At 41.3% G+C, this 22042-nt stretch overlaps 1 protein-coding gene across 2 annotated transcripts in view; it reads left to right on the top strand.

Moving 5' to 3' along the window:
- Nucleotides 1–22042, top strand: part of HECTD4 (HECT domain E3 ubiquitin protein ligase 4) — a 222237-nt gene that overhangs the window by 136961 nt on the left and 63234 nt on the right. For both annotated transcript variants that reach the window (NM_001388303.1, NM_001109662.4), the window contains exons 30-44: nt 1462–1597; nt 1710–1851; nt 1952–2118; nt 5444–5590; nt 6235–6419; nt 8373–8526; nt 9687–9967; nt 10205–10394; nt 12386–12467; nt 13756–13958; nt 14649–14784; nt 15591–15773; nt 16660–16824; nt 17213–17382; nt 18713–18828. In NM_001388303.1, the coding sequence (NP_001375232.1) occupies nt 1462–1597; nt 1710–1851; nt 1952–2118; nt 5444–5590; nt 6235–6419; nt 8373–8526; nt 9687–9967; nt 10205–10394; nt 12386–12467; nt 13756–13958; nt 14649–14784; nt 15591–15773; nt 16660–16824; nt 17213–17382; nt 18713–18828 (2457 nt within the window). The remainder of the gene's footprint in view (nt 1–1461; nt 1598–1709; nt 1852–1951; nt 2119–5443; nt 5591–6234; nt 6420–8372; nt 8527–9686; nt 9968–10204; nt 10395–12385; nt 12468–13755; nt 13959–14648; nt 14785–15590; nt 15774–16659; nt 16825–17212; nt 17383–18712; nt 18829–22042) is intronic.

Here is a 22042-nt window from a genome sequence, read left to right as displayed (position 1 = left end):
CATAAGCCCTTGTTAAAGGTCCTGTATATAGACCTGACCACTTGGTAAGGCTGTTAGTACTGTCCCAGAGGCTCTTGACCTCAGAGATAACAGTATCTTCAAAAATTATAATTTTTTTATATTTAAGCTGTCTAACCACTCTTAAGACAGATACAAAATGGTTTTCTCAGCTGGGCACAGTGGCTCATGCCTGTAATTCCAGAACTTTGGGAGGCCAAGGCAGGAGGATCGCTTACACCAGGAGTTCAAGACCAGGCTTTGCCACATAGCAGGACCTGGTCTCTACAAAAAAATATAAAAATTAGCCAGGCATGGTGGCATGCACCTGTAATCCCAGCTACTTGGGAGGCTGAGTTGGGAGGATTGCTTGAGTCCAGGAGTTCAAGGCTGCAGTAAGCCATGATTGCAGCACTGCTCTTCAGCCTGGGCAACAGAGCAAGACCCTGTCTCTAAATAAATAAATAAGTGAAAATTTTAGAAAAATAAAACAAAATGTTTTTTTTCCTGCACTTTCTCAACATCTTTTTTTCTTAGCTACTCATGACATATAGTTTTATCTTCTTCCATTTAAGGATTGTTTTATAAAACATCTATTTCCCTGGATAGGGTTAAGGAGTATATCTTATAGAAAGACCAGTTCAGATTCCAACTCAAGTGTAATATTTATTCCTACCAACTATGATCAAAGCAGAGGTATCATTAAATGACAATAAATCAGTTAAATATATCTGGGGTTAAAGCAGGGAAAAAGGCCATCTCTGAAAAAAATGGATTTGGATGTATTTGAATTAAGAAATTTGGGCCAGGTGTGGTAGCTCACACCTGTAATCCTGGCACTTTGGGAGGCCAAGGTGGGCAGATCACTTGAAGTCAGGAGTTCAAGACCAGCCTGGCCAACATGGCGAAACCCCGTCTCTACTAAAAAAATACAGAGGTTACCTGGGCGTGGTGGTGCACGCCTGTAATCGCAGCTACTTGGGAGGCTGAGGTAGGAGAATTGCTTGAACCTGGGAGATGAAGGTTGCAGAAAGCTGAGATCACACCACTGCACTGCATCCTGGGTGACAGAGCGAGACCCATCTTAAAAAAATAAGAAATTGAAAAATTAAAAAAAAGAAATTTGTGATTTTCGGCAATACTTTCTATGTCCTCCATTGCTTTTTAGAATGCTTACATTAAAGTGAACATGGATAGCTATGAAATTCAATGAATTTTTCAGCTTTTCTTTGGAAAACCAATTTAATAAAAAGATTTTAATTTTTTTAAGTTAAAATAATTTTTAACCTAATACTTAGGTTAAAAAATTGATGTAAAAACCATCAGTATGCTGTGCTAGCTAGATTGGTGGCTGAACTGTGATAGAAAGCAAAGATACACTTAGACTGTTGGGTAGTTCTGTGTTGCATTTGGCTGTTGTACAGATAGCAGAAATGTCAGCCTTTTTATTCCTTTTTTTTCTAGCTTGTAAATCAGCTTCTGAAACAAAAGTGATATCTCACGCTGTCAGGCAGCCTGTTTTTCTTCGCAGCATGTCAGCTCCTTCTGACCTGGAAATGATTGGTAATGAAGATTTGGAATTTACTAGAGCAAATCAGAGGTAAATGGCTAATGGCCGGGGTTGGGTTCCCACATGCAGCTGAATGCATTCATCAAAACAAGCTCCCTGAGTGTGTTTCTCGTCTTGCCAGTCTGTTCTGTGTTCCCCGTAGGCGTCGCCACGTGACCAGCCACCGCAGCAGCTCCTTTACACTCCTGCAGTCGCTGGCCATTGAGGACAGCAGGGACAAGCCCACCTACAGTGTCCTGCTAGGGCAGCTGTTTGCTTTCATCGGCACCAACCCTGACCAAGCTGTACGTCACATTTTGCGGGCTCCAGATGAATAGCACCTAACAGCATGCGGGGTCTTGCGGCAGTTAGCAGGAGTCAGGTGTCCCTCCTTGTGTGTTTCAGGTGTCCAGCAGCAGTTTCCTTTTGGCTGCACAGACAAGGTGGCGGCGGGGAAACACTCGCAAGCAGGCACTGGTGCACATGCGGGAATTGCTGACAGCTGCCGTACGAGTCGGGGGAGTGACGCATCTTGTGGGTCCAGTGACGATGGTCCTTCAGGGAGGACCCAGGTTAGTTGTTTCTGTTAGTTTATACTGTCCTTTCTAGAATGGTCAGAGCCATTCAAAAGATTATTCTTGGGACCCAAACATAGGCGGTAGTATTTGCTAATGTTTTCCTCTAAAATATTTATATAAAAGTGGTACATGATCTTGCAAAAAACTCAACATATTAATAGAACGTAAAACTCTCAGTATTCACCTTCTTCTCCTGAATTCCACTCTGTCCATTAAGAGCTCATTACAGCAACCATACATGCATAAGCAGCTGTATAATTCTTTTTGTACACATAACTGTGTTTGTGTGTAAATTTTTTTCAACTTAATTCAGATTATATTATCCATGCCTTTCTATAACCATGGTTGTTTTGCTCAGTATGTCTTAGATATCTCAGATATCTGTGTTTTCATATCAGCACATATAGGTCTGGTCTGCTTTATCTTTTTTTTATTTGACACAGAGTCTCACTCTGTCACCAAGGCTGGAGTGCAGCAGCACGATCTTGGCTCATGGCAGCCTCTGCCTCCCGGGTTCAAGTGATTCTCGTGTCTCAACCTCCCAAGTAGCTGGGATTACAGGCACATGCCACCACACCTGGCTAATTTTTATATTTTTAGTAGAGATGGGGTTTCACCATGTTGGCCAGGCTGGTCTCAAACTCCCGACCTCAGGTGATCTGCCTGCCTCGGCCCCCCCAAAGTGCTGTGATTACAGGCATGAGCCACCGTGCCCAGCCTTTTTTTTTTTTTTTAAGCAGATTCTCGTTCTGTCACCCAGGCTGGCATGCAATGACGTGATCATGGCTCACTGCAGCCTTGACCTCCCCAGGCTCAAGCGATCTTCCCACCTCAGCCTCCCAAGTAGCTGGGACTATAGGCGCATACCACCATGCCCAGCTAATGTATTTATTTTTTGTAGAGATGGGGTCTTGCCATGTTGCCCAGGCTGGTCTCAAATTTCTGGGCTCAAGGGATCCTCCTGTCTCAGTCTCCCAGACTGCTGGGATTAAAGGCATGAGCCACCACACCTGGCTGCTTTAAGATTTTTAAGAGCTCATAGATATACATTATATAGATGACCTTTTCTAAAAAAATTAACACATCCTCTGCTGACGGACACATAGGTTCATTTGTCTTTATTGCTTTTGTTTTTGCTTTGTTTTGTTTTTGCATTAACAACCTCCTTCTGCCTATATTTTTATACATTTCCATAACTGTTATTACTGAACCAATTTCTAAAAATGTAATCATAGATACTAACTCTGAAGATGATTTTATAACTCATTTGTGAGTTGTTCTATATGAGTTTCCTATTGGGCTTCAAAAATCTTCAAATAGAAATAGAAAATGCATTTCTCTGCAAGCCCTGGACTGGAGCTGCTGGAGGCTGCTGTGCTTCCTGACAGTTCTTTGAGGAATTCTGGCCAACAGGCAGAGAGGGTTCAGTGGCTGGAGGAAAATGGGTTAATTAAGAGCTGAAGTGAGTATCTTGAGAAATCTTGAGATCTTCCCACCTCAGCCTTCCAAGTAGCTGGGAGTACAGGAGAGGTCAGACTATTATTTGGAAACAAGTCCAAAATTTAAGTGGCTTAAAAGACAAAATTTTGTTGGGCCCAGTGTCTCACACCTATAATCCCAGCACTTAAGGAGGCCAAAGCAGGAGGATCACTTGAGGCTAGGAGTTCAAGACCAGCCTGGGCAATATAGTGAGACCCTGTCTCTACAAAAAGGAAAAAATTAGCCGTAGTGGTGGGGCATGCCTGTGGTCCCAGCTACTGGAGAAGCTGAGGCAGGAAGATCGCTTGAGGCCAGGAGCTTGAGGCTGCAGTAAGCTGTGATCGCACCACCCTGCACTTCAGCCTGGGCAACAGAGCAAAACCTTGTCACAAAAAATGAAGAAGACAAAATTTTAGGTCTTGCTTCTGTTCATGATGGGTTCATGCTGGCTCATGGTAATCACAGAAGAGGAAACCATCACCTCAAGAGCTGCCAGGCTCCTTGTCAGAACTCTGGCTCATTGACCAGACTTGTCACTGCCCAGCCAACCACAGGGTGCCCAGAAAGAAATAGGGAAAAGCCCTAATGATTACCACAGCCTATTTCCAGAATTTAATTTCTCCATAAAACTGGCAGCACTATTCCTTTTCCCTCGATTATTGTCATTTGTCAGAAACTTGAAAAAAAAATGTAGAAAATGCCAAAAAATACAATGAAAATCACCTACAAGTACACCCTCTTAAAATAACATTCTGTTAACACTTTAGTGTCTGTGTTCTAACTGTAGATGTCTCCCGTAGTGTTCTTAGTGGTTCTGTAGCTATATGCTTGAAACTTTAACAAATTCCCTATTTTTGAACATTAGGTTAGTTTTTCTTGTTTTTGCTTTTATAAACAATACTATGTTGCATGTCTTTGTAGATAAATCCTGATAGTTTCAGTTCTAAACTAATATTAATTGGTATAGAATCGGCCCTATGTTGTGTTTTGCATTGGGAAAGTTTTATTTTATATCAACTAGGCTTTCATCTTCTGCTAATAACTGAAGTGTGAACTCAAAAACAGACACTTAGCTAATCCATTTGAGCCTTAGTTGTCTCATTAATAAAACTGCCTTGGCTAGGCACAGTGGCTCAGGCCTGTAATCCCAGCACTTTGGGAGGCCGAGGTGGGAGGATTACTTGAGCTCAGGAGATTGAAACCAGCCTGGGCAACATAGCGAAACATCATCTCTACTAAAAGTCAAAAAAATTAGCTGGATGTGGTGGTGTGCATCTGTGGTCCCAGCTACTTGGGAGGCAGAGGTGGGAGGATCACCTGAGCCCAAGAGATCAAGGCTGCAGTGAGCTGTGATCGTACCACTGCACTCCAGCCTGGGTAACAGACCAAGACCCTGTCTCTAAAAAAAAAAAAGAAAAGAAAAGAAAAGAAAAAGCACTTACAGTATTCAGTGCTACTTAGATTATTGTAGACATGTCTGAAATAACTGGTTTCATGATCAAATAAGTTTGGAAAATGTTGAATGTCCCCTGCTTGTGGAGAGGCCATTCGCTTTACCCTTACTGAAGGCTCTGAAAAGTCCTACAGTAGTCTGTTTTAATTTCCCTAACCCAGGATTTCCTAGACTTTTCTGGAGTGTGGACCGCTGTTTTGGAGGCACACCTAAAACTTCTGTCCAGCAGTCTTGCATAGTCTAGGAAACACTGAGCTGGATGTTCTCCAAGATCCCTTCAGTTCTGGATTCATCCAGATACTCTAGAGTTTCTCAAGAGGCCTCTCCTGCTCAGCCACTGTTCTTGACATGGTTCAGGAAGCCTGAGCTTTGGTTTCTCTTTCACAGAATTGAAGAACTCACATGTGGTGGGATGGTCGAGCAGGTCCAGGAAGCCTTTGGCGAGACCATGACCTCTGTTGTGTCTCTGTGTGCTCGTTACCCTATCGCTTGCGCAAATAGCATTGGACTCTTATGTACCATACCTTACACCAGGTAAGTACGGAAAGGCCTTTTGTTGTATGTAAGTTACCCTGCAGTATAGTCGATTAAGTGAAAGTATTTTTAATTTTAAAAATTGGATTTTTTGCTTTCATTATCCAGAGCTAGCTATACAAAACTTTTCTCCTGAAAGACACTTAAGGTTCCTATGTAAATTTCTTATTATTGAGTTCCAACATGACTAAATGCAGCCATTAGGGTTATATTACATTGTGAAGATACAGAGGTTCAAAGAAAAATAAAAGGTCCCTAGGAAATTACTTACATATTTGGCAGAAATATTTTGCATATATACATTTATTTCCTCTCTTGGGTCACTTAGTTACTAATTTGAAGATGTCAAGCATTCATTGAATCCCCTTAGGACAAAATACATGATTTTTTTCCATCATGGCAACATTGAGTTGATTCCATCGATTTTTGCTGTATATAAACAAACCAGAATTTGAAGTTCCTTGTTAATGAAGGGAATCATCATTATCAGAAAATCATTTTGTGTTTGATTGCACATGGCAGTATCCTAAGTTGTAGGGAAAGAGCTGCACCAGCATGTTTTATGCCCCTTTGAACCTCACATGAGAGTTTCCTGAGTGTCGGTCAGTTACGTTTATCTAGTGTAATCCATGACCCTTTGTCAGGAGCGAAGAGAAGTGCCTGGTACGCAGTGGCCTTGTGCAGCTCATGGATCGACTGTGTAGCTTGAGCAATCAGACCGAGTCCAGCTCCAGTGAGAAACAGACCAAGAAGCAGAAGGTGGCCACCATGGCCTGGGCTGCCTTCCAGGTGCTTGCCAACCGCTGTGTTGAGTGGGAAAAAGAGGAAGGTGAGATGCCAGACTCCTTTCTAGAGCTCACTGATTTCTTCTATTGGTGTGTTAGTTTATTGGTTTTTTTATGCTAAATGAAAGAGAGAAAGCCTCTATTAAATGACATGATCAGATGGGTTAAATCAGTGGATGATTTCATGAGAGACTTTTCCTCAGTGTGGTTTTATAAAAACTTACAGCATTACGATGAGACTGAATGATATCCCTGTACCCTGAAGGAGTACAGTAATCCCAGGAAATTGAGAAGATATTTTTTATTCTCTCCTTGTCAATACTGCTAGTAGTTTCCAAATATATTTTTTTAATTAAAAAAAATTTATTAGACACAAGGTCTGTCACCCAGGCTAGGGTACAGTGGTGCAATCATAGCTCACTGTAACCTCAACCTCCCTGGCTCAAATGATAAGAGATCCCCCGACCACAGCCTCCCAAGTAGGACTATAGGCGCACTCACCATGCCTAGCTAAGGTTTTTTGTTGTTGTTGTTTGTTTTTAGAGACAGGATCTTACTATGTTGCCCAGGTTGGTCTCAAACTCCTGGCCTCAAGCAGTCCTCGCGCCTTGGCGTTCAAAAAAACAAATATTTTTTGAAGTGGCTTTTCAGTTGCATTTTCAAGGTGATGTTTCCAAATTTTATTTTTAGTGACCAATCCAAATAAAAAGTAAACCTGGGCTGGGTGCAGTGACACGTGCCTATAGTCCCAGCCACTCAGAAGGCTGAAGTGGGAAGATTGCTTGAGCCAGGGAGGTCGAGGCTGCAGTGAGCTGTGATCGTGCCACTACACTCCCTGGGCAACAGAGCGAGACCCTGTTTCAAAAAAAAAAGTAAACTTGAAGGATAAATTTCCCAATAAGATTCCAGGCCTGTGTGTATAACTTGTTTATTTATCTGTTTATTTGTTCACGATGCATTTTAATGTCTTGAGAGTCTATTATATGCCAGGCAAAAGATAAATAAGGCATTATTCCTCCCTTTAAAAATATGGTCTGGCATAGGCTGGGTGCAGTGGCTCACGCCTGTAATCCCAGCACTTTGGGAGGCTGAGGAGGGCGGATCACCAGAGGTCAGGAGTTCGAGACCAGCCTGACCAACATGGAGAAACCCCATCTCTACTAAAAATACAAAATTAGCCGGGCATGGTGGCACATACCTGTAATCCCAGCTACTAGGGAGGGTGAGGCAGGAGAATCACTTGAACCTGGGAGGCGGAGGTTGCAGTGAACCAAGATCATGCCATTGCACTCCAGCCTGGGCAACAAGAGCAAAACTCCATCTCAAAAAAAAAAAAAAGGTCTGACAGGGAAATAGACCAATAAGCAAATACTTATAGTGTAATCAGTGCCACAACTGAGGTAGATAGGATGTGCAGTGGGAGTGTAGAGGTCCCAGAGACCAGCTGTGCTAGGGATCCAGCAAAGCTTCCCAGAGAAGGTGACACGGGAGTTACTCTTGAAGGAAGGAGAATACTTTCGAGCAGAACAAACAGCGTGTGTAGACTCAGCGATCTAAAAGAGCATGGAAAGTTCAGGAAACAACAAATACTTTTTCATAACTTTTACATGCTTGGGAGGTTCTGGAACTATGGTAAACATGGAAGAATCCAGAAAGGTCTTTTATTGTGTTTGGGAAAGTATGAGTTAAGAAATCAAGATGTTTTCATCACCGGTGAAGTAATGATTCTTCCCTATCAATCAAAGTATGTTCTTTGGTTATGTATGAATTAATCATATTCAATTTTCATTAATAGTAATGTCTACCCCCCACATTGAGTTATTTTTAAAATAACTATTATCCTTTTTATGTGTAGACATTATCTAATGAGGAGACACTATTAGATGGTTCATGAAACATTAAGCAAGATAAATGGACAGGGCTCGCCGCCCCCTCAGGCTCACCATGGCACCCTTAAGTTTTCACCAATCTCTTTTTTTCTTTCTTTAACTGTGAAGGTGGCTCCACAGAGGCTGTGCACTCAGGTCTGGCCCGGCAGGTGTCCAGCCTTCTCACTAACCATCTTGCCCGAGCCACAGAGTGCTGTGGCAACCAGGCTGCTGGGAATGACGCGCTCCAGGATGTCCTTAGTCTTCTCAATGATCTCTCAAGGTATGCAAGGTCCAGCCTGGAGCTCTGGGAGAAGCTGGCTTTCCTCTTGAACGATTGGGGTTTCTTTTGGTGGTGGTTGTCTTTTCAAAATAGCTAAATTACTAGGCCATTTTGACACACTCTTGCCTCAAAAAAATAATGGAGGATAAAGTCATTGAAACATAGTATTTAGTTCCAAAATATAAGGATTATTTAGGTGAATAGCTAAATCATAAAATAATATATCATCATTTGCTTTAATACCTTACTGACAGCAGCTGCTAACCTTTCCCATAGATGCAGTTGTATTCATTAACCAAAAATCTTACCCTCATTGTAGCAAGATTAAAGAGGAATGAGTCAGGGCCTGTAATTAACTCACTTTCTCATGCTGTGTCTTTAAAAGAAGATACTCTGTGCTGGTTATATACTCCCTGTGTGAGCCACGAGGCCCATAAAATATCCACATATGACTGACTGCATGTTATTTAGCTTTCTTGGAATATAACAGTTTTAGCTGTGGCAGATCCTAGAACATTGAAGCCTATGAAACACTGTATGATAGCTTTGGTCTTGAGGTACTCATTAAGAAAGAATAAATAACGTAAATTCCAAAGAGAACTATTTACAAGTTAATCTCTGTTCCCAGATCCAGTCATTCTCCCTAGCAATCATTTATTATAGAATGCTTCTCCCCTCTCCCTTAACCTGGTTTACCAGGATCCAAGCCCCCATTCTTTCTGTAACCTCAAGATGGTAGATAAGCTTCTGTAACTCATGGGAAATTGAGTCTTCACTCTGAAGGCTCCTGTGTATACATGTTAAATAAATTTGTATGTCTTTTTTCCCGTTAAAAAAATGAAAGAATAAATGACAAACTGAAAAGCTCTTAGTTTGAGTTTCTAAGTCTCAGTGCTCCATGAATCACTCTGAATTTAGGATCTCAAGTAAACATCAGAGATCAGAAAATATTCAAAAATCTTTCTTTTTAAGTATTAGTGTTGTTTGGTTTCATCAAATGTTTCCAAAATTCTTAATTCTTCACAGAAGCATAGTGCCACATTCATGATTCCTCGTGAAATCAGATTTCATTGGTTTGTTTCATTCAGAGAACTCTTGCTTCTGAATGTCTATAGATCAACATTTCTAGCACTGTGTACCTTTTCTTCCTTTTTTCCCAGGAGCCACATAGGTAAAGCCATCCTGAGCCAGCCAGCTTGTGTGTCCAAACTCCTCTCCCTGCTGCTTGACCAACGCCCGTCTCCAAAGCTAGTCCTTATTATTCTCCAGCTGTGCCGGGCGGCGCTGCCCCTGATGAGCGTAGAAGACTGTGGAAACGTGGAGCTCCCACCCTGGAGCTACTCTGTCCCCTCCTTAAACAGTGAGCAGGAGGATCCCAGCGACCCAGCTTCCAAGATCGCCTCCCTGCTCTTAGCAAAGCTGGCAGATTATGTGGTTCCAGGTGAGAAGCTCCTCAACAGGAGAGTAGCATGGCAGTGCAGCATTCCTGTGCCCAGTCAGGTCCCCCTTGCATCTGTGCTTCCTATGATGAAAGAGTGAGTGACAGAGAAGGGAGCGGGGACAGGAATAGAGAAGGGGGAAGAAAGATTCCAAATCCCAAACCATTATTTTTCATTTTAGCAGAGCCGCCAAAACAACACTGCAGTTTTCCTGAATGAGCTTTGTTTTTTGCTTAAAGGATGTCAGACAGTTCTTTCTCCAACCGCTTCTGAACCTGACACCACATTGACAAAAACCAGTCCCAAGAATTCCTTGAAAGGAGATAAAGATCCTGGAGAAGAGAGTGAGGCTGTGGATGGCAAGCTCTCGATATTTATCCACAAGCGGGAAGACCAGTCATCCCATGAAGTCCTCCAGCCATTGCTAAGGTGACCATAATGATTGTGATAGCTACACATCCTCAAGCACCACCCATGTCACAGGCACTGTGCTAAGTAAGCCCTGTACATGTATCGACTGCCTCGGCCCTCTTTACACCCCTTTCAGGTAGACACTGTCACTGTGATTCCTGTGGTGACACAGAAAGAAACTGAGGCAGAGCTGAAATGCAGATGTAGTCTTCTCTGACCATAGAACCCAAGCTCTGAACCACAACTTGGTACTGTCTCTCTAAGTGCAACTGAGAGCTAAAGCCATGTGGACGATGTATTATTGTCTATGGGAAGCCTCCAGTGTGACTTGGGCTTTGAGAAGGAATAATGCCATTTGATTTTTAGTTGTTGGCATCCTTCAGCTGTTGGTAAATTTAGGTAAACTCCAACTCATTGACTGTGAGTTGGAGAAACAAGAGACACTTTTTTAAATCTTTAATTAGTTGAAGTATGAAATGGTGTGATTACTCAAGAAGAAAGTAAAAATATAGTCATTGCCCAAATATTACAAACCTGCAGGGCTTTGTTAGTGGGATCCAGGGCAACAGGAAGGCTTGCCACATAGCACAGGGGAATTCAGAGCAGGTATTTATGTCTCAGATTGAAGAGGCCTCTCTTTACTTAAATGATCTGACGATGTTGTCATCCTCATAATTGAATCCCCTGTCTGCCATTATGGCAACTGAAAACACTAATGGGACCATGGTGTAAACTAAGCGGGATTATGGCAGGTCAGGGCTTATATGAGGAAATCTCCAAGAAACATTCCTGGACATTGCAATGCATCATTGTACAAATTTGATGAAAGATTTTTTTTGGAGAACCAAGTTCAGGAGGCAGGGGAAGAAGAACTATTAGAAAGGAACACTAATAAATTTTTTCTTAGCTCTTTTAAGAAAGTTTAATAGTTTGAAGTTGAAAATAGTTTAATAGCCTAAAAATAGTTTGAGATAGGTGAGATAGTTGAAAATAGGTGAAAGGTTGCTAAGAAAATAACAGATAATAAGAATTACAAATACCTTATTAAAAATATAAAAATATACCCAGGCTCACAAATAATTAAAGGAAAGGAATAAAAACAATAGTAATATATCATTTTTCATCTGTCAGACAAGTAAAATCAAGAAAGATTAGTAATACCCTTTATTGTCAAGGTGAGGGTAAATAAAGTCTCAAGTGTCCAGGGAGAAACACACAGGGTGTTCTTCACAGTTTTGTTTGAAAAAAACAAACAAAATAGGCCAGGCGCTGTGGCTCACGCCTGTAATCTTCCTTTCTAATAGATGTCATTCGCCAAGGGATCACATCTATGGTGTCGTTAAAGTTCCCTCTCCTTGGGGTTTAGATGATGTCCTCAGGCCCTGCTTTTGTTCTGGGTTCATGTCAGTTTTTCATTTTGTGCATTATTTTCATCTGGATTTCTAGATACCCTTACAACTCTAAAAACGCTGTTGTTTTGGGCCCTAAAGTGCTATAATTAAGCAGTAATAAATTATTTCCTTTTTGAAAAATTGAGTCTTAAATTGTGGATTTTAAAAGCTAGTGTTAGAGGTCCAGGCATGGTGGCTCATGCCTGTAATCCCAGTGCTTTAGGAGTCCAAGGCAGGAGGATGGCTTGAGCCCAGGAGTTCGAGACCAGCCTGGGCAACATAGTGAGATCCCATCTCTTCAAAAAATACAAAAATTAGGCAAGCATAGTGGCATGAACCTGTGGTCCCAGCTGTTTGGGAGGCTGAGGTGGGAGAATCACCTGAACCTAGGGAGATCGAGGCTGCAGTGAGCTGTGATCACGCCACTGCACTCCAGCCTGGGTGAAAGAGCAACACCCTGTCTCAAAAAAAAAAAAAAAAAAAAAAAAAGCTAATGTTAGTGTAAGCTAATGTTAGTGTATAATAGGGCCTCACCATGACTGGGTGACCCCATGGCATGCAGCCCACTTTTGGCAGTGCCTGTAAGGTGTGCTGTGTTCTCTGCCTGCCTTTTTTCAGTAGTTCAGAAGGACGGCCCTTCCGACTTGGTACTGGCGCCAACATGGAGAAAGTTGTGAAGATGGATCGAGACATGACCAAGGTAACCTCATGAGGTTAAAACGATGAAACCCGAAATTGTAGAGTATTTGTCATGCTTTAGATTTTCAGAACAAATTAAGAAAACAAAAAATTAGTTCAAGTTCCAACGAAGAGGCAAGGTGAGAAATTGAAGTCAGTGCCTTAACTGAGGCCATTTTAAAGAGAACTAGTTAAAGTCAGTTTGTCAAAATCAAAACTTTTAGTTTTGACCTAGAAATTTTTTCTTAGCTCTTTTAAGAAAGTTTAATAATTTGAAGTTGAAAATAGTTTAATAGCCTAAAAATAGTTTGAGATAGGTGAGATAGTTGAAAATAGGTGAAAGGTTGCTAAGAAAATAACAGATAATAAGAATTACAAATACCTTATTAAAAATATAAAAATATACCCAGGCTCACAAATAATTAAAGGAAAGGAATAAAAACAATAGTAATATATCATTTTTCATCTGTCAGACAAGTCAAGAAAGATTAGTAATACCCTTTATTGTCAAGGTGAGGGTAAATAAAGTCTCAAGTGTCCAGGGAGAGACACACAGGGTGTTCTTCACAGTTTTGTTTGAAAAAACAAACAAAATAGGCCAGGCACTGTGGCTCACGCCTGTAATCCCAGCACTTTGAGACACCAAGGCAGGTGGATCACCTGAGGTCAGGAGTTTGAGACTAGCCTGGCCAACATGGCAAAATCCTGTCTACTAAAAAATACAAAAATTAGCCAGACGTGGTGGCAGGCTCCTGTAATCCCAGCTACTTGGGAGGCTGAGGCAGGAGAATCGCTTGAACCTGGGAGGTGGAGGTTGCAGTGAGCCGAGATCGCACCACTGCACTCTAGTCTGGGCAACAGAGCAAGACTCAATCTCGAACAAAACAAAAACAGAAAATAGGATCCACATACTCATAAAGAGGGGATTGGTTAAAGAAATTATTACAGTCATATAATGAAATGCTGTGCAACTATGAAAAACAATGAGGTAGATCTCTGTGTATTGATGTGGAAGAGTCTCCGCGATACACTGATAACTGATAAAAGCAAAATGAAATGCAGTCTGTGTCGGGGCCCTGTGATACGTATGCCAGAATTTGCACAGAAGTTATCTAGATGACTAACCATTATCTCAGCCTGGATGAGGCCTGGGATGTCTATGGAAATTTTACTCTACATATAATATTTTATGTTTGAATTAAAAAAAAATGAGTGTGGATTGCTTTGGTAATTGAGGGGAAATAGACTTGAAAAATATAGTGCTGGGAAGACTGAAATGAATCTTCTCAGCGTCTTCAACCTCACCCCAGGGTGGCTGTTGCGAAGTGATTACAGAAGAGGCTGCAGCCGCCCTGCGGAAAGCCACCAAGTGGGCACAGTCAGGCCTCATCGTCAGCATTGGGCCACCTGTAGAGTCTATCAACCCAGAGACTGTGAGTGGACTATCCACAGGCGACAAAAAGAAAACTGCCCAAACTTCCATTTGCCGAGAGAGGAACTCGGAGCTTGCAAGGTAAACCTTCCACAGGTAGGAGCTGTCCACACTCATCTCAGGTTTACTTTATAATGGGTTTGTTTTTAGCTTTTTAATTTTCTACCATCCCCTTGACCTCTTGGAAATGAGGCCGCCATCTGCTGTAGTAGTTGCACTCAAGGTACAGCCTGGAGTACGTCGGGGAGTAATGACCATCCAGGTAGATCTGAGGTTGTCATGAAAGAATAGAGGGATGCTCCTGGCTGAGGGGACATTTATAGCCAGAGGATTCTTTTGAGTAGTATTAATAAACTCTGGTCTTGCTACCTTTATTTCTTGCAAATGGTACATCTCCACTGCCCCAACTGAACACAAACTTCTTTCTAGGAGCAGAAGCAGCAGTTAAGTGTTGCCTCTGTGAAGTTGGTTCGAGGTGTTTTGTGCTTGAAAGCCAGGAATAGTTGCAATGCAGTGTCTTTCCCTGATCCTCATGGCTTATAAATAAAGTTTGAGGTCCATTGTTTGAGGCAGTTCTTCAGATACCACAAAGAATATGACACAGTGATTTCTTCCTAATGATAATGTAGCTTCTTGTTTTCTCGGTCAATGGAATCCACTTTTTCTTGTATAAAAAGAAAAGGTTTTCCTCTGATGCTAACCCTGAAAGCCACTTCCCTGCAGTCTTAACCATCACTGGGCACTGACACTTTTTCCTGTTGACACTTGCAGGACTGATCCTGTGCGTCCCTTCATCAGTGGGCATGTGGCAAACAGCATGGCTGCAGAAGTGATCGCCTTGCTACATAGCTTGCTCATGGCACCTGAATCAAATGCTGCTCAAATATGGACCACAACAGCAGAGAAGGTTAGCGCAGTGTTGCTACTCAACTGAGAAAATAAGAAGTAAGCTAATTAGAATTAGAATCATACCCAGCAAGGGGCATTTCAGTAAAGAGAAATTTTCCAAATTCATCAGATACCTGTTAACTGACTTTCCCCTGGAAGTTGCTTTACTGTAGTACTTTCAACTCTGTTAACCTATATCACCTGTCACTCCCGGTTCTCATTTTGCAGACGATAGGACAGTATTCTCAGGGAAAGAGTGACAGGCCTTGTTTCTCTTCTTCTTGCTTATGTTAGATTGGTACTGACATTAGGAGATCATGCAGTGTTGGTTTATTGGATTTAAGTGTACTCACTAAGTCCAAGGAGGCCTCTGCGTGATTTACACTGCCTGAGTGCCCTGTCAGTAAGTGATTCATCATTACAAACAGTAGTCCAGTTGCCTGAAACTACGGATCTGTAAGCAATTCCCCCTTTCCACAGCCACTCTTCAAATGAACCCCTTATGACATGTCCTGAAGGTAACTGAGTGTTGCCAAGTGGACAGTATGCTGGGATGGTTTTCCTTCAGATAAATGATTGTTTCATTTTAGAGGTTTTAGTGACATGATGTTTGATTCTCCCAGTTGTGTATTTCCAATTTTGTCCAGTTACATAGACAAATATGGGCAGATGTCATTGGCCATACCTGATAGTTTTTTGGTCCCTCACATGTCCAGAGTTCCTTCAATACATGGGACCCAGGCACTGTTGTAGACACTTTATCACCCTTGGCATCAAAACAACCAAAGCTTTAACTCCTAGTGCACGGGCTGCTTCTATATTTAGGTTCTGTCTAGAGCACTGATGTACATTCCACAATTGGGGAAATACGCAGAAAGCATTCTGGAAAATGGCAGCAGCAGTGGCAGGAAACTTGCCAAACTTCAGAGAATTGCACGCCAGGCCGTTGCCGCACTGTGTGCACTTGGAGGCTTCAAAGAGACAATCAAGATAGGATCCGAGGTTCAGGTACCAACCACCATGTTCCCCAAATCATTGCTTCCCCCATATATATAAGCATCCATTAATTAATTGATCATCTGTAAGACAAGTATTATCCAACCAGCTGTACAAAAAAACCTGTTTCTTCAAGCTAAATAAGGAATCTGAGAAATTCTTGAATTCAAATCCACACTGTGCCACACATTATTCAGATATTAATGCAATACTGTCTTAGGTTAACTACAATACTTGTGTCCTGTAGTGTGATCAGTATCAGTCTTAGAATTGATGATGGAATTAGAATGGAAGGAAAACAGTGTTTTCCTGCAAATATTTATTTACCATTAAACAGCAGTAACAAGTTTGTTTGTTTGTTTGTTTGTTTGTTTGTTTGTTTTGAGACAGAGTCTTGCTCTGTTCCCCAGGCTGAAGTGCAATGGTGCAATCTCAGCTCACTGCAACCTCTGTCTCCCGGGTTCAAATGATTCTCCTGCCTCAGCCTCCCAAGTAGCTGGGATTACAGGTGCCCACCACCTTGCCTGGCTAGTTTTTGTATTTTTAATAGAGATGGGATTTCATCAGGCTGGCCAGGCTGGTCTCGAACTCCTGACCTCAAGTGATCCACCTGCCTCAACCTCCCAAAATGCTGTGATTACAGGCATGAGCCACCACACCTGGCCTAGCAGTAACGAGTTTCTATTTGAGATGACAGCATGTTGTGATCACCTTGCAGTTAGGTTTTAGGGCCTATTATAAGTCATGTCTAGGGCTTGGTATCTGCTACCCTAGTAGTATAAACTATTACTGTAACGCCAACAATGACAACTATAAATTTACTTTTTCCTCTTGTCTCGTAAGACAGCTGCCCACACGTCAGAGCTGGTTGGTAGTGCTAATCTATGTCTGTCTCCAGGTTTTAGGTAGAGGAATTTCAGGAAGCATTGGAGTAGTGGCTTCTATCAATGAACAGGAAGGTATAGCTACAGTCAGATTCCCACCCATAGACTGTAGAAAGACTTCGCAAGCGTCAGACACATTGACTATTCCATTGTCTAGACTTTGTGTTCCAAGATCAGAGGTAAGGTGATTTTTAAATGCTTTGTAAAATGTCTGCCAATGGTAACTGTACTGTAATGAGTCTATGCACATGCTCAGTGCAGAAGCACAAATGCTTGATTATCTTAAATTGTACTTGTGATGTATATTTATGTATTGGTTATAGTTATTTAATAGTAATGCTTATGTGAAAATTTTCATCTAGATGACCAAATTCATTTCTTTGTTGGTTAGGGCTCTTCTACAATGTATTTTTAATTGTTTTGATGTGGTTTGTAGTTTTCTGTATGGTGATTTTATTTTTTTAACTGAAAATTTAAGAATTAACTCCAGATAATAATAACACCCTCATTTCTTATAAACTAACTACTTGAATTTAACTTTTTGCCATGCCCCCCCACCGCCATCAGGCATTGCCTCTTCATAAACTGTCCATTACTGAGAAGGTAGTACAGGCAGTCCAGTCCATGTTGCTTCCTCAGGAGGGAAGTCTCTCTATTCACACCTCACTTCCTGCAACAGGAGATGGGTCAGCTCCTGTGATGGCAGTCGTTCGGCTCCTTGCTGAAATAAGGACAAGGTGAGTACCCTCCCCACATTGCCTTATGTGCTGACATGGTGCAAGCTGACAGAAGAAGGGATCCTTGGTGGGCCCCTCCACTCCCAACTTAGTGAATCCACAGCTTGAAGCTCACACTAAACTGAGCAACAGTAACCATTCTTTTACAGTTTTTACCATAGTTCGTTGCATTCCTTAATTTCTTCAATTTTTGTTGCGTTCCCCAATGTCTACACTTCAAAATAAAGTTTAGCATACAAATGAAATGTGATGTATGAAACACATACATAAGGCTCCACTGATTTGCTTTGTTAAAAGAACTCTGTTCCATCACAGGAATAACTCTACTACCTTGAGGCAGGAGAATCGCTTGAACTCGGGAGGCAGAGGTTGCAGTGAGCCGAGATGGTGCCACTACACTCCAGCCTGGGCAACAAGAGCGAAACTCCATCTCAAATAAATAATTAAATAAATAAAATGGTTCAGGCCACATTGATACATATCTGGCCTATCACTTTCCAAACTGATGATGGGAAAACTAGGACATGCACACAGGGGTTGGTGTTGGTCTTTTCCTGCAAATACATTTATTTAGCGTTAAACAGCAGTAACAGGTGTCTCTTTTTGACAATGAAACTTCTTTTTTTTTGGACACAGAGTCTTGCTGTGTCACCCAGGCTGGAGTGCAGTGGCATGATCTCAGCTCACTGCAACCTCTGCCTCCCTAGTTCAAGCGATTCTCCTGCCTCAGCCTCCTGAGTAGCTGGGATTACAGGCGCATACCACCACTCCTGGCTAATTTTTATATTTTTAGTAGAGATGGGGTCTCGCCATGTTGGCCAGGCTGGTCTGAAACTCCTGACCTCTGGTGATCCACCTGCGTTGGTCTCCCAAATTGCTGGGATTACAGGCGTGAGCCACCATGCCCGGCCAACAATGACACTTCTTAGAAACGTCTAGTGTGTATTTTGAATCAGGTGAGAGCGATCGCCATACAGATTTTCCCACTTTTTGAATCCCTCTTGCTTCCCTAGGGCAAAGTTAGGAAAAGCTTTTAAGAGACAGTGCTGATTTCTCACCTGGCACTTTGTATCTCCATTTAGTGGTGATGGCAACCATTTTTCTCTTTTCCAATTCTTCATGCAGTGTCAGCAGTTACTGTGTGGCAAAAGAGAAGTTATTTATATATTTCCAAGACAGTCCAGCTCAGAAAAAAAAAGCAAGATGAGTGGGGTGTTTGAACCTTGTTGTAAACTGGGGGGCAAAATTGATTGAAATGTTTTTCACAGTTGACTTTTTTAGACAATGAACACTGATGACTTTGAAATATTGTAAATCTTTTAACATTAAGAGCATGCCTGGTCATGGCCCAGCTTTTAGAAGACAGCTTATTTTGTGAAGAATTCATACAACAATGTCCAGCAGCTGTTGAAGTTCTTAACCTAGTAGCCCAGGAATGTAGTGCTGGTGAGTACCTGAACTTGCCTTACCACCCTGTTTTATTGAATTTTCTCAGCACATTTGCAATTTGATAATGGTATGTTAAGTGTCTTCATACACACACATCAAAACAGCCGAGCTGTAAGGACAACACCTGTCACAACTCACGTGCATCACAGACCTAGAAATGTAAATAAAAAGCTTTTAATCTACACCAGTTAGGAAATCAGCATTTTTCAATTAACTTTAGGACCATGTCAGAGTGTTTTCTTTTCTTCATTCCTATTGATTTGTTGCCTTTATTTACCTATTAGAACTATAATATTTAGGAGCTGTCCTTAGGGCTGGCATGTACATTTTGACTGTTGTCATTGGCTACATTTGAATTCCCAGTCAAGAGTTTGCACTAACATCCATCCTTGCATGTGTGTGTGTGAGTGTGTGTGTGAGTGTGTGTGTGAGTGTGTGTGTGTGTGTATGGAAAAGTCCAAATACCAAAATTGAGAGACTAGTATAATGAACCTTCAGGATTCCATTATCCAGTTTCAACAGTTGTCTACTCATAACTGATCCTGTTTTATCTGTGCTGCAACCCCTGGAATTATTTTTAATCCTAGATATTATTTTATTCATAAGTATTTTAGTTTACGTCTCTGAAAAATAAAGAATCTTAAATAACTACAACACCATTATCACCTATCTAAATTATTAACAGTAATTTTTAAATATTATTAAGTATCTAAGCTGGGCATGGCAGCATGTGCCTGTAATCCCAGCTACTTGGGAAGCTGAGGCAGGAGGATCGCTTGAGCCCAGGCGTTTGAATGCAGCCTGGGCAACATAGTGAGACCCTGTCTCTAAAAATATGTGTATATACATATCTAGTCAGTGTTTAACTTCCTAATTTTCCCATAAAGATCATCCTTGTTTTTATATTTATTTATTTGAATGAGGATCCAAATAAAGTTTACAAATTGTTACTTTGTTGCTGTGTCTTTTTAATCTATTTTAAAATATAGATTCCTCTTAGTCTTTTTTTTTTTTTTTTTGCCTTACAATTTGTTTGTGGAAGGTTTCCCAGTCTGGATTTTGATGACTGTATCCCTGTGGTGTCATTTACCATGTTCATTTGCCGTTTTGTTTCCTGTAAATTGGTAGTTGGCCTGGTTAAATGAAAATTTATCTTTTGTCCCCAAGGATATAACTGGACCCTAAGTGAAATTGTTCACAATTCAATTAACATTCCTCCAATGCTAACATTTTCACAAACTACATGTTAGAAATGGACGGCTTTAAATCCCTTAGTGCTTGTAGGTTCATCCTCTTTTTTTTTTTTTTTTTTGGTCTTTTAAAAAGTCTGTATTACTTTTTCTCATGCCGTTTATTTTGTCAGTAACTCTCTAATACCTTTTCTGTTTGTAGTTTTTGTTACTCTTTCACATTGTGGTCATTTCTGTTGTTTTCTTTTTATTTTTAAATTTGTCTGTATCCGTTTTACTTCTCACATCTCTTTCTTTTGATAAGGGTAGTGCCTTGGATTCAGCAGAAGCTCCAGCTGGGAGATCCAGGAACCATTAATAAACCTCAGAGAGATGCTAAGAATAGAGAACAAGAACAGAAGCAAGGGGTGTGCTAGGCGTCAAGGGTGAAATTACTTGTGACTTCGTTTTGTACTCTTAGTAGGTCCTTAGTTCACTGCCTCTGACTTTTTTTATATTGTTGGCTTAGATTGCATTCGAAGACATATTTTGACTGATTATAGCAGCATATAACATGCTGAATTAATCACTTGCTTTTCTATGGGACTGTTTCTGGGTATCCTCTTATATATTTTATAGAATAAAGAGGTCTTAATTGTGAAATTTACATTGATACTTAATGCATAAGGTAGGATTTGTAATAATTTAGAGCAGTGGTCTCACATGATTTTGATCATAGTCCACCTAACCTATTTTTCCTAGTGGAAAACCACTTTGTGGTAACAAAGAGTTGCAAAGAAATGTATGGGAAGTGCTTGTTAATTACTACAAAAGAGAAGACTATGAGCTTATGCGTATTGATTTGTATTCTAAATAGTATCCTATGTAAAGTTGAAGAATCCTTGGGCCGGGCGCGGTGGCTCATGCCTGTAATCCTAGCACTTTGGGAGGCCGAGGCAGGCAGATCATGAGGTCAGGAGATGGAGACCATCCTGGCTAACACGGTGAAACCCCGTCTCCACTAAAAATACAAAAAATTAGCCAGGCGTGGTGGCGGGCACCTGTAGTCCCAGCTACTCGGGAGGCTGAGGCAGGAGAATGGCGTGAACCCCGGGAGGTGGAGCTTGCAGTGAGCCGAGATCATGCCACTGCACTCCAGCCTGGGCAACAGAGCGAGACTCCATCTCAAAAAAAAAAAAAAAGAATCCTTAATAACTCACTTATTAGGTTACCAGAAATGGTTCTGACATTTGAAGTAAATGGCAAAGTTTACTGACTCCTATGTCAGTTAGTGATAAAAACCAAAGGGAAAAACCTACATTCCGGGTTACTTTGCAGAACAGTGGTAGATTCTTAGGCCTACAAGGGAGGCATAGACTATACTCAGGAGAAAAGCTGTTTAATAAATAAGATTCAAGGTGAGGAGTAGGTAGAAAAGACAGAGTTATTTGATTTTCATTTTTTAAGGTATTAAAATTTTTTACTTTATATATGAAAATGTCATGAAATTTATAAGCAATAATGTATTGATACTCAAATTTTTAAAAATTTTTAAATTTTAAAATATTTAATCAACTTCTATTATTTTTCCTCTTCTGGGATGAATTAAGTGGCAAACTTGGCCATTCTAATATTTACTCACTGATAGCCAAATTTTATAGCGTCTCTATCTAAAGAAGACAGTACCAGATTCCATTTGATCTAGGGAGATAGCACTACAAAACTTTTTTCCTTGAAAAAATATTCCTGAAGGCCGGACGTGGTGGCTCACGCCTGTAATCCCAGCACTTTGGGAGGCCAAGGTGGGCAGATCACTTGAGGTTAGCAGTTTGAGAACAGCCTGGCCAATATGGTGAAGCCCTGTCTCTACTCAGAATACAAAAATTAGCCAGATATGGTGGGGTGTGCCTGTAATCCCAGCTACTTGGGAGGCTGAGGCATAAGAATCAGTTGATCCCAGGAGGTGGAGGTTGCCATGAGCTGAGATCGTGCCACTGCACTCCAGCCTGGGAGACAGAGCAAGACTCTGTCTAAAAAGAAGA

This window comes from Homo sapiens, chromosome 12, assembly GCF_000001405.40.
Source record: "Homo sapiens chromosome 12, GRCh38.p14 Primary Assembly".
NCBI lineage: Eukaryota > Metazoa > Chordata > Mammalia > Primates > Hominidae > Homo > Homo sapiens.
This window is presented reverse-complemented; position numbering and strand designations above follow the sequence as displayed.